The sequence below is a fragment of the Homo sapiens genome, chromosome 3 (genome assembly GCF_000001405.40).
Source record: "Homo sapiens chromosome 3, GRCh38.p14 Primary Assembly".
Lineage (NCBI taxonomy): Eukaryota > Metazoa > Chordata > Mammalia > Primates > Hominidae > Homo > Homo sapiens.
Window position 1 is genome coordinate 97,880,775 of NC_000003.12, and position 14,187 is coordinate 97,894,961.

Below are 14,187 nucleotides of genomic sequence, written 5' to 3' on the forward strand. Positions count from 1 at the left end.
TTCGTATAGACCACATCTATAAAGAGCATACATACATAAATATAGACATAGAAATATATTGTGGTACTATGTTCAGAAAGTATTTTTATTTCCAAGGTATATGCACTTTTATTTTTTCTTTACTGTTCGCCTGTACTTAAATTAGCATATATCATTGTTTCAAAAAATAGGGTTATATGCTAATAGTGGAAGATATCCCAGCTTAAAAAATTTAAGTAGACAAAATGGTCTGTGACTTATATGCCTTATTTCTTAGAAAATTAAATATAACTCATCATTGCATTTCTCTTTGTTTAGCTGGATTTTATATGAGAAACCACATTTCCGAGGTCAGAAATGTGTGCTAGAAGAAGGGGAAAAGGTGTTAAATCGTGACTGGATTCTTCAGAACAGAAGGCATCCACAAAGAAACTTTATATTGGGTTCTCTCAAACGTGTCTTAAAGGTAACAACTGTAGATTTTTCTATTTTTTATTTGATTTTATTTATCATATAGTAAACCTGTGCTGTGGCCTGGCGATGTTTACAAATCATTGCTAATTTTTGTGCTGTTATTAATCTTCATTACCATATTGATAATCTTTTGAATTTATGCAAATAGAGTGAATGGCAATTAAAAATATTAACCAGAGGTAATGTAGTTTATAAAATGTTACATGGGCCGGGCGTGGTGGCTCATGCCTGTAATCCCAGCACTTTGGGAGGCTGAGGTGGGCAGATGACCTAAGATTGGGAGTTCGAGACCATCCTGGCCAACATGGTGAAACCCTGTCTCTACTAAAAATACAAAAATTGGCCGGGCGTGGTGGTGCAAGTCTGTAATCCCAGCTACTCTGGAGGCTGAGGCACAAGAATCACTTGAACTCGGGACACGGAGGTTGCAGTCAATCAGGATCACGCCACTGCACTCCAGCCTGGGCGACAGAGTGAGATTCAGTCTCAAAAAGTAATAATAAATAAACATATAAAATGTTACATGATGTACTATATATATATTTTATAGGATTATACTATTGCTATTAAAATAAGCTAATAGGAATAGTATTCTCCTATAATAGTATACTATACACTATACTATAATAGTATACTACTATATTAGTATGCTACTGCTCCTACTGTAATACTCCTAGTAATATATAATAGTATAGTATTGGCTGGGCACTGTGGCTCACACCTGTAATCCCAGCACTTTGGGAGGCTGAGGTGGGTGGATCACTTGAGGTCAGGAGTTCAAGACCAGACTGGCCAACATGGTGAAACCCTGTCTCTACTAAAAATACAAAAATTAACCAGATGTCATGGTGGGCAGCTGTAATCCCAGCTTCACAGGAGGCTGAGGCAGGAGAATCACTTGAACCTGGAGGGCAGAGGTTGCAGTGAGCTGAGATCATGCCACTGCACTCAGCCTGGGCGACAGAGCAAGACTCTGTCTAATAATAATAATAATAATAATAATAGCAGCACAGTATTACAGAATACTCCTAATTAGTATACACTGTTCCTAATTAGAAGTATACTATTCAGGAATCTTAGAGATTCCTTATTGATTTCCAGATATATCTTTTTCTAGTGTAGATTGCTACTACTTAGTATAGACGTGTGTGCATGCATGTGTGTGTGTTAGGGGAAATAAGGGAGGATTGGAATAGGAAGGGAAGGTATTTTTTACTTTTCTGCTTAGAAAATATTAATACTAAGATGAGAAGGGTCTTCCAATATAATAAAATATTTTGTAAGAAGTTCTGTGGTAGTATAGAGGAGGGGTTAATTAGTGATAAGGACATCTTAGATAAGGACAGAATTCTCCTCACATGTATTCTTAAGATTTCCTTCATAATATGTGATACAGTACAGTTACTCATGTGACAGTAATGGATATATGTAGTTTTCAAGTTATGGAGATTTCATTTATATACATAAAAAGTATAAATTGAGATGAAAACTATCATGATGACTTGGATTGTTATTATTAAACTCTTGACAGTGGTCTATAGCATTCAGAGAAATTAAATATAGCCTACAGAAAAACTCTAAGTTATAAAGGTGTCTGCACATATTTTATGTGAATCAATACTGTCTGCAAAGCTGTAGGCAAACCTATATTTAACAATATTTGTGTCTGCTTTTGAGCCAATACTGTGGTGTGCACAGGGAATAGAAATACAAGTGAGATATGGTTCCTTACTTCAGGTTGCTTAAAGACTCGGGGAGAGCAGCTGAGTCACATGATTATATGATGTGAGAAGCGTTCTCCAGGGCACACAGAAGAAACAACTCACCTTTGGGAAGAGGCGTGTCACCTGGAGGAGGTGGCACCTGTTTGGAATGTTGCAAGGACTAACAGGAGTTAAGCAGTCTGGGAGATATGAGGGAGTTCCTGGCAGAGCCACTTTTGTCAGATACAGAGGTGAGCTTTGGTGGCCTAGTATACTGCAAGGAGATTAAGATGGCTGAAGTGGAGAGAGCAATGTCCATTTTCACTGAAAGATTTAACTGTAGTCAGTTCAGTTCTGCAGATAACCATTTGAGTGCTCACTCTATTAACTCAACTAGAAATTCCTTGAAAAAATGACTAGTTAGTTCGTAACTGAACTCTTCTAAGATTTATATCACTTGTGGTTTTGTGCTTTCTTTGTGAAATCAGGCACTATGCCAAGGCCTAGTGGGAAAAAAATGAGTAATATATGGCAAACAGCCACCTCTCTCACCCCCCCCACCAAAATCAAACAATAAAATCAAACAGATTTAATCTGGTGAGCATAGATATTTGAATGGATATTTGCACGTCCACCATTTGCTTAGAATATATTATAAGAAAGAGTAAGTCAGGCTTGTACTTTTTCTTCTAGTGTTTGTTCTCGGAATCATTTTTTTTTTAGTTGCAGTGTTAGTTCGTGTGTCTCGAACAGGTTAACAACTTTTAGTGAGGAAGGAAAATAAAACTATTGAGCATTGAATGGAAGAGGCATGAGCCTTGTTTAAATATTTTACAAAGTAATAATTAGGCATCAAACTGCTTCCTTTTTCCAACGTTGTCAGAATTCTTCCTATCGTTGCTTCACTTTCATGGTGGTTGTTTCCATGACGGATTCACTTCTCCCTATTCTATGCCAACTTTATCTTGTTGAATCATCTTTATATTAGTTGTTATATTGGTGTAGTCAAGACTTTAATGTCCTTTAAAGATAGTTATTTCATGATGTCTTCACTTTAGAGTACACCACCCAAACATTGTTTGTACAACACAATGCAGAGGAAATTTGTTTGTGTGAGACAGTTAGTTACGTATTTTGTTACTGTAACTCAGATCCCTGGGGGGACATTAATATGGAAATATTTGAAATAATGTTACTAGAACTCTATTATTAATAGCATACAAAAGAGCCTTGAGGATTGACAGGTATAGCGAATAACCTCAGTAATCAGTAATTGTAGATTCCAGTTAAGGGTTGTCTTTGTACCCAGGGAAAATAATTGGGGGTGAAGGTAGTAGTGTGGTGAATCTTGATTCAAGTGCTTTCATTTATAAAATTAGAATAAATGAATATTGCAAATTACTATGTTTACTGTGTATTTAAGGTTTTTTTTAAAAGATATGACATCTTTCTTATGGTAAGATCTGTTGTTAGATGCAGGACTGAGGTATCTTATATAAGGTAGAGACAAATATATTTTCTTACTGTGTTTGTTTACTGTGATTTTGTTAACTATAAAACTGTCTTCATTCTTACTAATTGCCATAATAGTATAAGTTTGCAAATTTCACTAATATATTTGAAAAGTGTAGCAGGACTACGAAAGTATACAAGGAAGCCATATAAACTTAAATTGTTTTTTGTTTCTAGGTTACTTTAAAGTGGCTTGCAGTTGCTCGTGTTTGACTTTCTTTGTCCATCAAGAATTATACATATGTTTTGCAAAGCATGCTATTTCTGTGAATAGCCACCGTGAAGATAGAACTTAACAGTGAAATCTTTTTCAATCAACTAGAGCAAAAATTAGTTTTCTAGTGAAGATAACAGCAAACATATGCCTTCTCATTTTTGTTTATTTTCATTTTTTAGTGATTACACTTTTGCTATTATACTGTTTCCATCTGTGTTGTTGTAGACTTGAATGCTTCTTAGCTTTTCCCTTTTAGAGTACACCACCCAAACATTGTTTGTACAACACAATGCAGAGGAAATTTGTTTGTGTGAGACAGTTAGTTATGTATTTTGTTACTATAACTCAGATCCCTGGGGGGACATTAATTTGGAAGTATTTGAAATAATGTTACTAGAACTCTATTATTAATAGCATACAAAAGAGCCTTGAGGATTGACAGGTGACTGTTCTAAACATTTCTGCTTATTTTTGAAGTGAAACTTTAGAACGAAGTATACTTTTATACTTTAAAGGATATTTTAGATTATGCTTCTTTACTATTTTGCATTTTAGAACCAATTTTCTGAAAATGAGATGTATAAACTTGCTTGCTTTTGTATATTAATAAGAATGATTGAGAATTCAGTTTGGGGAAAAGTTGAAAAATCAGACTATTATACTTTTAGAATTGCAAAACTTAAGTAGAATTGTTCAGTCTCTTATAAATGCCACCTCTATTATTACATTTACCTATTAAAGCATATGCATTTGAATCTCACAGTGTCATAGGGGATAATTACTAAAACTTGAGTTGTATCGAGTTCTATCATTAAATACTCATGAGTATTGAGATAGTGTGTTAAGACAGAAATGTACCTGTAATTTCAGAGAAGGGAAAAAATAATTGTAATTTTGATTCCCTAAGAAGGGATAAGGTCTTTTTTTGAGTTAGAACTTGACTATTAGAAGAGCTTTTTGAAAGTAAGAATACAAAGAATTATTTCTTTAGTTGAGATAGGGGAAACATCTGCAAAGCCTACAGAGGCTGGAGTGGAAGTGGAGATAGCATGAAGACCAATATGATTGCAGAGTTGTAGGAAGTTAGTGTGGATCACTAGTTTGGTGTCCTATTATAGAAAGACAAACAGAAACATGAATTTGATGTGCTTGGGTCTGAAGCCAATGAGTTTCTTGAGGAAAGTGATGTTCTAACAAGTTCAGCTGTCTAAAGAGTAGTAGCTAGTGCTTGACTAGTGGTTGTAAGTAGGCCTGTAATCAAAGTTTGGGCCTAACCAAGGGCTGTGACAGTGGAAATATGTAAGAAGAGATATGCATGAGGGAAATTTTTAAGGAAGGTCTCACAGGACAATGGGTGCATGATTTTTTAAGACTGTGATGGAGTAAAGGGTCAATTTCATAATGCTTTTCTTCTTCAAACCTACTGCACTAGGAAATGGAGTCCTACAGGGAGGAAAACAGATTTCCTTTACCCTCACCTCTAATGACTATTTCTTTTGTCAATGTAAATTAGATAAACACTGAAGAGGGTACTGCTTCTCTACTTGTTTTTTTATATCCCCGATGAGATCAGCTTTTATTTAACTCTCTTCCTCCCTTATGGTTTTATTATACTGCTAAGAAGGAAGGCTTACAGACATTTGGCACTCAAATAGTTTGGTAACTCTGAAATCTGAACTCAATTTGGTAACTCTAAGCATTGCTTAATGGAACGAATCTTTAAAAAACAAAGCAGAAACATTGAGACAATAATTTTTCCATAAAATTTATGATTTTCATGTCATTAACAGCTTTTTAGAAAAACTTTTTAAAAAAAAAAAGGGTGAGGAGAAACAATATTTCCTTTATGTTTTCTTTGTGAAGAAATTCAACTCAATAATGAGAACAGTGTAACTGTATGTCCAGGACATTGAGAAGACTGGACTGTGTGACTCTAGTTGATTTCAAAGCCAAATTATTTTTTTTTTTCAGGACTGCAGCATTCCAGAAATAGAGCTTTTCCCACAATCTGACCCAGCCTGTTGTCCTGTCTACATACAGAGAGCAGTCCCCAATTTGGAAGAACTGAATATCTCCAAATCTGTGTCCTTCACTGTGAAGTCAGGAGTGTACGTATCAGTTCCTTTTTATTATAGTGATTGATGGCCACCAATTTCATATTTCAATAGATGACATACATTTTTCTAAAGTTTCTAGCTAATGTTTATACTCTCAGTCACCCAAGAAAGACTGCAGGGGTTAAAAGATTCTTTGGATCTAATTAGAGCTTTGATATATGACTCACAGGAGCAGGTATAGAATTCTGAGATGTAGTTCTTGATATATGGATCTATTGTCTTTTCATCCAACAAATTCTGTGATTGAGAAATAAAAGCATGTCCCTGGCCTAAAATTTTGGAGCCTGAACTATTTCTAGAGTGTCTAAGTTCTGATAGTCACTGACTGCCTCTGTGGTATCAGGCACATATGGCTTTTTTGTTTATGACTCCTCTGTTCCTGAAAGGCAGATGGTGTTACTCTCATATTATATATGAGTGATTTGTCCCAGGCTACTAGCCGGTAAGCATGGATTTGATACTAGGCCTCTCTGGTTCTAGAGGTATCTGTTAGGACTATGGGTCTAAGTTCAGTCTTAGTTCATTCCCAGATTGACTTGACTCCAAACCCTGTGGATATCTGGCTCAACATGAAACCCTCTGCTCCCTCACTGTTTTTGTTTACTTTGATGATGGTTGGTATACAATTCTGGGGACACTGTAGGACAACATTTTTGTCTCCCCCACATGTGAATTAGAACTTGTGGGCAGGCTGGCCATGTGTGGTGGCTCACGCCTGTAATCCCAACACTTTGGGAGGCCAAGGTGGGTGGATCACCTGAGGTCAGGAGTTCGAGACCAGCCTGACCAACATGGAGAAACCCCATCTCTACTAAAAAAATACAAAAAAATTAGCTGGGCATGGTGGCGCATTCCTGTAATCCCAGTAACTTGGGAGGCTGAGGCAGGAGAATCGCTTGAACCCAGAAGGCAGGGGTTGTGGTGAGCTGAGATAGCACCATTGCACTCCAGCCTGGGCAACAAGAGCAAAACTCTGTCTCAAGAAAAAACAACAAAAACAAAAACAAAAAACAACTTTGGGGTAGGCCAGTAATTGGCTGTGTCCATGAGGAATGTCTGTAATTATCAAGCTTAGCTGGAAGATGGGTCTTTTGGGAATCCAATTGCAAATACTGTTCCTTAGGCAGCCAATAGAACTGATATTGATTCTGAAAACGTGGCTCAAAATGTAAAACACCTTGTGGAATCCCTACCTCTGATTGTTCCAGTTTAAAAAAGAATGGAATATAGTGAAATTGTTTTTGATTTTCTAATTATTTCCCACTTGAATTAAAGGTGCCACGTGTTTTAGGTATCAGAAAAATAAAAGTAATGCCTAATGATTGGAAAATGTATCAGACTTATTATAGGACAGATAGCTTATTATAGGATGGATAATGTGTGAATGTAAATAACATGGTAACTATTATCGTTATATAATGTCTGGCTCTCACTTTGAGTGTGTTTTACTAGTGTAATTCTGTGATGGAGGATTTTGTTTTTTTATTTTGGTAGCCCTTTTTACTTACAGAACCAGACTAAAGCAGTACTATTATACTTTAACTAACTATCTATTTTTATATAGTTGGCTTGCCTACCCAGATATTAATTTTAAGGGACAAGCTACAGTTCTGGAGGAAGACCATGGGCTCTTTGAGATTTCTACAGCAGAAATGAAATCATTACATCCGCTTCAAATGGTAAGCAAATTTAAAAAGAAGCATTCCTTTTCCCAAGTACCCATGAATCCAAAATTAAATAACCATGATGTTTGCTCATGCATCTCAATCTCAAGTGAATATGTGTACTACTGAATTGGCAAACTATTGTACTGTAGTGCCTTCAGTATTTACAGTATTTCTTTTTTGTTACAAACATTTACTTGAGTGGCAGACTGTTCAATTAAACATTGGCTATGTGATAAACCATTTTTGGTTAGTCCATGCCCCTTAAAAACATAGCCACTAGGACAAACTAAAACATTTTAAGAAATATCACAACGTGGAGTAGCACTTGAAACAAAAAAAACTACAGAATTGGGGTTTTTGTAAGGAAAGAGTTGCTTTTTATGCTGTACAACTTTGAGGTCACAAAGACAGTGCATGTGAGAAAAAGTGTTGGTAGAACTTGGAAAGGTTAGTGTGGTTAGCTCAGTGCTCTAATTTAAAAAGCCCAAATAATTGTAGGGAAGACCTTTGGATTAGCTGGCTAAGAAATCTACTCTGCTGAATGAGATTTCTAAGTTTACTAGCAATACCACTTTTCTTTTTGGGACACTCTGAAGTGGGATTAAATCTTAATTGGTCATGTGTACTCAAGGACTAAAGCTCAGTTTCCTTCCTCATAGTAGTTGTAATCTGGAAAGTGTATCCTTAAGATTTCTTGCCCCATCTACATTGATGAGGAACACTATAACTTGGTTTTGGCTACTATAGAGTTCTGTGCTTAAAGTTTAAAATTTAGCACAATTTGAATTTGACTGGTGTGTAATCTTCACTGGTTAGATTTTTATGTAACCTACATATATCACTTTCAGATATTACATTCAAATGTTTTAAATATTTACCTGTCTAATATTAAACTATCTTGTCATCTTAAGGGTGGACTGAAAGTGGAAATGCCCATGAACTTAAAGGTAAGTCTTGGACTGATTTTTGTAGCAGGCTAAAGAGTCTCAGGATTAATATTTATTCCAATAATTTTGAAACATTGGAATAAAAAGTACCTCCACATATGATTATACTTAGCTAATGGATTTTGGGGAGGTGGGAAGTGAATGCACAAAATGTTTGATGAGGGCCCAACCCTATGGCTGTGAATGGAGAGTGGGATCAGTCTGCAAAGATGGAGGTCTGTACCAATAAATCAGTCAGACTCACTACATTCTGCTACAGGGTGGAAAGGTGATAGGTTTGATTTTTGTTTTGAGGGAAGGGACTTGAGAAAGCAGCTAGTTATTGAAGTGGAGATATCTAGCGGGCATTTGGGAGTGATGCTCAGGAACATGATCAAGGCTGATCAAAAGGAAGTGTAGGTAGCTCTTATCAGGTAGATGGCAGTTTGTAAGTATGAGTATCCAAAGGGAAAAGTAGCGGCGAGGCAATGAAAATGGGTAGCAGTGGTGCCAGGATCAAGCAAATTCAGGGAAAGAAAGGAGGAAACAGAATTACAAAGTATGTTTAGAGAGAGAGAGAAGGCAAACCAGTACAGTGATAAAAGATGCAAACAGGCCTGCTTGTAATTAGGTTACAGCACCTCCAGAGGCAGGTATGGAAGCAGGGATTCATTCGTCTTCCTCTTCTCTAAAGCAAGATGCAACTCCTTCAACTCTCCCATTTCTGGGCTTTCTGATTTATGGAACTGACTTCCATTCTCTCAGCCACATAGATGTAGTCTTTTAAAACTTCTTTATCTGAGTGTATCTAATATACTTTGACTGTATGTTGGAATTATACATGTTGGAGTTTTTAAAAATGCTTGAGCCTGGGCTGCACTCCCAGAGATACTGTATTAGTTTGGGCCGTGGTCAACAGTTTGCAAAGAGTCCTAGGTGATTCTATTTGCAGTCAAGATGTAAAAGATGTACAATTAGCTGTGAAGCTGTCTGAATGCCTTCTGTCTCAGTCTCCTAGTCTGGTCAATCAGGACTTCAGTTGTGACAGGCTGGATCTTCCTTGGACATTTGCAGTTTGACAGGTTGTAGGTGTATATGAATGGATTGGTAATCACAATTTATAAGTTGTTTGATATTAATTTGTGGCTTTCCCATCAAAGAATTTGTATTTCTTACTGAGTTTGAATGTGGTCAGCATATGTAACATGTATTAAACCCAAATAAAACTTTGTCATCTCAAATATAGTACCCTGTGCAAACCTAACATGGAAAAGTGCAGGATTGGTACTATATATTGTTTCCCTAATATTATCAGTTTTTAGTCGTAAGGAAGCTATAACCTTTTGATTTAGTGTTTTTAAGCATGGGGTTTATTTGGCAAGATATTGAGTTGACATTTGTGCACAAATTATTCCATTACCCACAAATAGGACCAAGTGAGAGAATGTGGATAAATGCTGTTATCACTTCCTCATACTTAATGCAGCTAGTATTTGAGAAGTGAAAAAACAGCAAAATAGTAAAGGAGAAATACTATTCCAATCCAAATTTGAAGTAAATGCCAAAAATTTGTTTCTGACAATATGTATTGCATCCCCTCAATTTGAATCAAATATCCAATCTTTAGAAATAATATTTTTCAGTAATTTCTTATTTTTTAGGAAGTTTTGTATTTAAATTCTAGAATTTGCATGTCTGTTTCTTCTCAATGAATAGTAGGCCATAGAAGCAGTTAGCATTGTAAGAAACAGTATGTATTTTTAAAGTCAATAGATAATTTATTGTTATACCCTGGAATCTCAAGAGAGTTCTTTAGGGGAAATTCAGTAAGTAGAAGGAAGGTCTATATTAAAATTCCGAACACAGGGATATACTTATAAAGATAATTCAAGAATCAGTTAGTTATAAGGCAGTTTACCCTATGAGATGATCCCAGTATTTGGGTGACCCAAACAATGTAATCACACTCAAGTATATTATTGTAATATGAGAGAAACTTCTTATTAAATAAGCTATTTTATCCTTATGATGATAAAGACTCACATATTCTTTGTGAATATCCAACATTGTGCTATACTGTAAGTATACATGAGGGGACTTCAAAAAGTTCATGGAAAAAATGGAATTAAAATATAAAAATAACTATAGACGTTATTTTTCATCATAAGCTTCGTCACTGTCAAGACACTTTCGTAAGCAGTCATACCAGCTATTTAGTTCACCCTAAAGAACTGAGGGTCTTGCAAATTAACTATGTCAATGCAGTCTTTTTTATGTTATTAACTGAAGGAAAATGGGTTTCCTTTAGAGTTTTTGTTAAGATTAGGGGAAAAAAAGAAGCCAGAAGGAGGCAACTCAGGAGCGTAAGGTGGATGCCTAATGATTTCTTATGGAAACTCTTGGGAAATTGCCCTTGTTTGAGGAGAGAAATGAATGGGAGCATTGCCGTGGTAGAGAATGACTTTCTGGTGAAGCTTCCCTGGGTGTTTTTCTGCTAAAGCTTTGGCTAACTTTTTCAAAACACTTTCATAATAAACAGATGTTGTTCTTTGGCCATCCAGAAAACCAACAAGCAAAATGCCTTGAACATCCCAAAAAACTGTTGCCACGACCCTTGCCATTAACTGGCCTGCTTTTGCTTTGACGGGATCACTTCCACCTTTTGGTAGCCATTGCTTTGATTGCGCTGTGTTTTCAGGATCATACGGGTAAAGCCATGTTTCATCTCCTGTTATAATTCTTTGAAGAAATGCTTCAGGATCTTTATCCCATTTGTTTAAATTTTCAGTTGAAGGCTCTGCTCTTATCTGCAGCTGATCGGAGCATAACGGTCTTGGTACCTATAGAATGAAATGTTTGCTCAACTTTAATTTTTGAGTCGAAATTGTGCAGGCTGAACCAACTGAGGTATCTGTGGTGTTGGCTATTGTTTCTACGGTTAATCATCAGTCCTTTTCAATTAGGGTGCAAACAAGATGAATTTTTTCCTTTCAAATTGACGCGGATGGTCTGCCGATTCTTGCTTCATCTTCAACATCATATCGTCCCTTCTTAAATGAGTTACCTATATGTAAACTGCTGATTTCCTTGGGATATTGTCACCATAAACGTTTTGTAAATCATTAGTGATTTCACCATTCTTCTACCCAAGCTTCACCATAAATTTGTTTATTCTTGCATCATTTTTAGCAAAATTTGTGTTGCTCTGATAGGGGCTTTTTTCAAACTACTGTTTTGTTCTTCTTAGCACCTCGAAGTAGATCCTTTTCAGATGTGTTATAACAAGTTAGTAGAAGTTGATTTTGGTGCAAAAAATTTTGCAATCCCTGCATAGTTTTTTGTAATACACCTTTTCCATGAACTTTTTGAAATCTCCTCATATTAATTAAAAAAAAATAGATAGTAGTCCCTGTACATTTTGTGGTCTTTGGTGTCACTTAAGTAAATATGTGTCTATATTAAAATATAAACATGTTAAATAATTTTTCAGGTTATTATTTATGAAAAACCTCACTTCCATGGACAGGCTAAAGAGTTTAGTGAACATATAGATTCTGTTCCTAATTTTTTGAAAAATAATGGAGATTTTCACAGAATTGGATCAATTCGTGTCATTGGTGGAGTGTGAGTATCATATTTTTAACATTTGCACAAGTAGTCTGTTTTTGAAGGTCAGCACAAAAATGTGCTAAGCAAAGCAAAAATGATTTGTTTTTAATCTAAAAATATACATTCCTTCTGTAATATGGAAAGTAAAAAATATTAGTTACTTATGGTTTTCTGTGGACTCTTGTTTGTATTAAATATTTTGAGATATATTAAATGTAGAAAATAGTTTCTGAAACTGCAGCACCTTGTATTTCTGAACACAGGATAGACTATAAGAATTGCAAGATAAAATTAGGTTTTCACAAGTTATGAACGTGAATGACAGCCCCAGTTTTTATCCACTATTTTGTTGATCATACTTGACTTATGTACCAAGGACCTTGCCAGTGAGCCTTCCCTTGTTAAAAAAGGATCTGGGTTATGTGTTTCCAAAGTCAAGGATTTTTGACATTGGTTGCCCTCCGGGCTCTGAACTGCTTTTGAGGAAGCTCTCTAGGAACCCCTGGATATAAACCCAAGTGTAACCATCATTGCTACCATCGCAGTCTTAGTCAGCAGTTCCTGGGGCAGAAGCCCCCCAAATCTGTGATGGGCCTGGGATGTACCTTTATATTCGTATCCTGGTAGGTGAAACAATGAAGAAGAAACTGTCCTCATTGTTTATTTATCATTGTCAACCCAATGCTGGAATCCCTCTAGAAACATTCTGTTGTCTCTCTGTTGATACATTGGTTATTTTGGAACGTTAGTTTGTTTTAAGTATCAGTATCTCTTGGTATTTGCAGTAACATCATATAATTTTGCTAATAGCTACTCTAGTAAAAGATGCTACTAAAATATTTTATTCACAGAAGTTAAATGAATTGTTTAAGATCACTCAAGGGCCTATATTTAGAGAACTAGACTTTGCAGTTTCCGGCAGTAAATTAAGTAATAGCCATACTAGTCACAATAAAAATGTAAGAGATTATATATGCTGGATATGTAGATTATATCAATTATTAGTCTGACATATTAATCACTTACTTCCTTGTCCTTCAATTTAAAAAATTTATTAGGGTCTTGAAGAACAAATATGGTTTGGATAAACACATTTTTATTGTGTTCATTTGTAATATTGTCTGGTTTGTGAACACACATGTTTCTTGATAACCCTGCTGTAAAATATTTTTGCCTTTTCCTCACTTTGAGATCTAAATGTTTTTCCTATTAACTAGGTTGACTTAGGTTAAAACCAATTTTCTACTGCACAGAAAATTATCTGCTAAAATTCTGTGCAATGTGCATTGTTATTCTCTAAGTTTTTTTTTAAATAGCTATTTTGTAAAAATCCTAAGTAAACATGACTTGTAATGCAGGATACAAACTTTCATTTGTCTGTGACATCTGCAAGAGAAAGATGTGATGTCCCCATTTAAAGAGGAATAGCTGATTATTTTTTTCACAACTTCTACCATTTTTTGGTTTTGTTATTTAATTGTATCTGTAGGTAGCATGGACTCCATCCCTGTACCACCTTGAGGAATCTGGGGAAAGTAAAACTAATGTTTCTTAACTTTTCTCAGATAATACCTATCTTTAAATATACCAGATGGATATATAAATTGAATCTTAATCAAAACTTAGTCTATTAAGAAAAACTGAGTACATGCTTATTGGACTGTCATATAATAAATTTGCGAATCTTAATTGATCCTTTAAGGTCTTTTATACCTTTTATTTTTTTTCCCATTCAGATATAAATAAAAGCGTGTTTTGAGTAGCCACACTTATATAAAATAAAGCTTAGAATTTAAAAGTTGTTTTGTGAAATTTATTTTCATATAATTGTTTAAGAATAAAATAATGTTGGTTCATTTACATATTACAGATATACTGAGATGTATAAATAGGTTTATAGGTTTATTCCAATTCATGTGGACCCTCTGCCCCACCGTCATACCTATACTTACAGGAAGGGGAGAGGGAGTAACAATCAATGGC

At 35.4% G+C, this 14,187-nt stretch overlaps 1 protein-coding gene across 3 annotated transcripts in view; it reads left to right on the forward strand.

The window, feature by feature from the left end:
- The window catches only part of CRYBG3 (crystallin beta-gamma domain containing 3), a 122,974-nt gene that overhangs the window by 58,764 nt on the left and 50,023 nt on the right, over positions 1-14,187 (forward strand). For 2 of the 3 annotated variants that reach the window (NM_153605.4, XM_005247117.5), the window contains 5 exons: positions 298-445; positions 5,857-5,993; positions 7,567-7,681; positions 8,581-8,616; positions 12,086-12,219. In NM_153605.4, the coding sequence (NP_705833.3) occupies positions 298-445; positions 5,857-5,993; positions 7,567-7,681; positions 8,581-8,616; positions 12,086-12,219 (570 nt within the window). The remainder of the gene's footprint in view (positions 1-297; positions 446-5,856; positions 5,994-7,566; positions 7,682-8,580; positions 8,617-12,085; positions 12,220-14,187) is intronic. The other variant, XM_047447439.1, reaches the window with a different exon arrangement.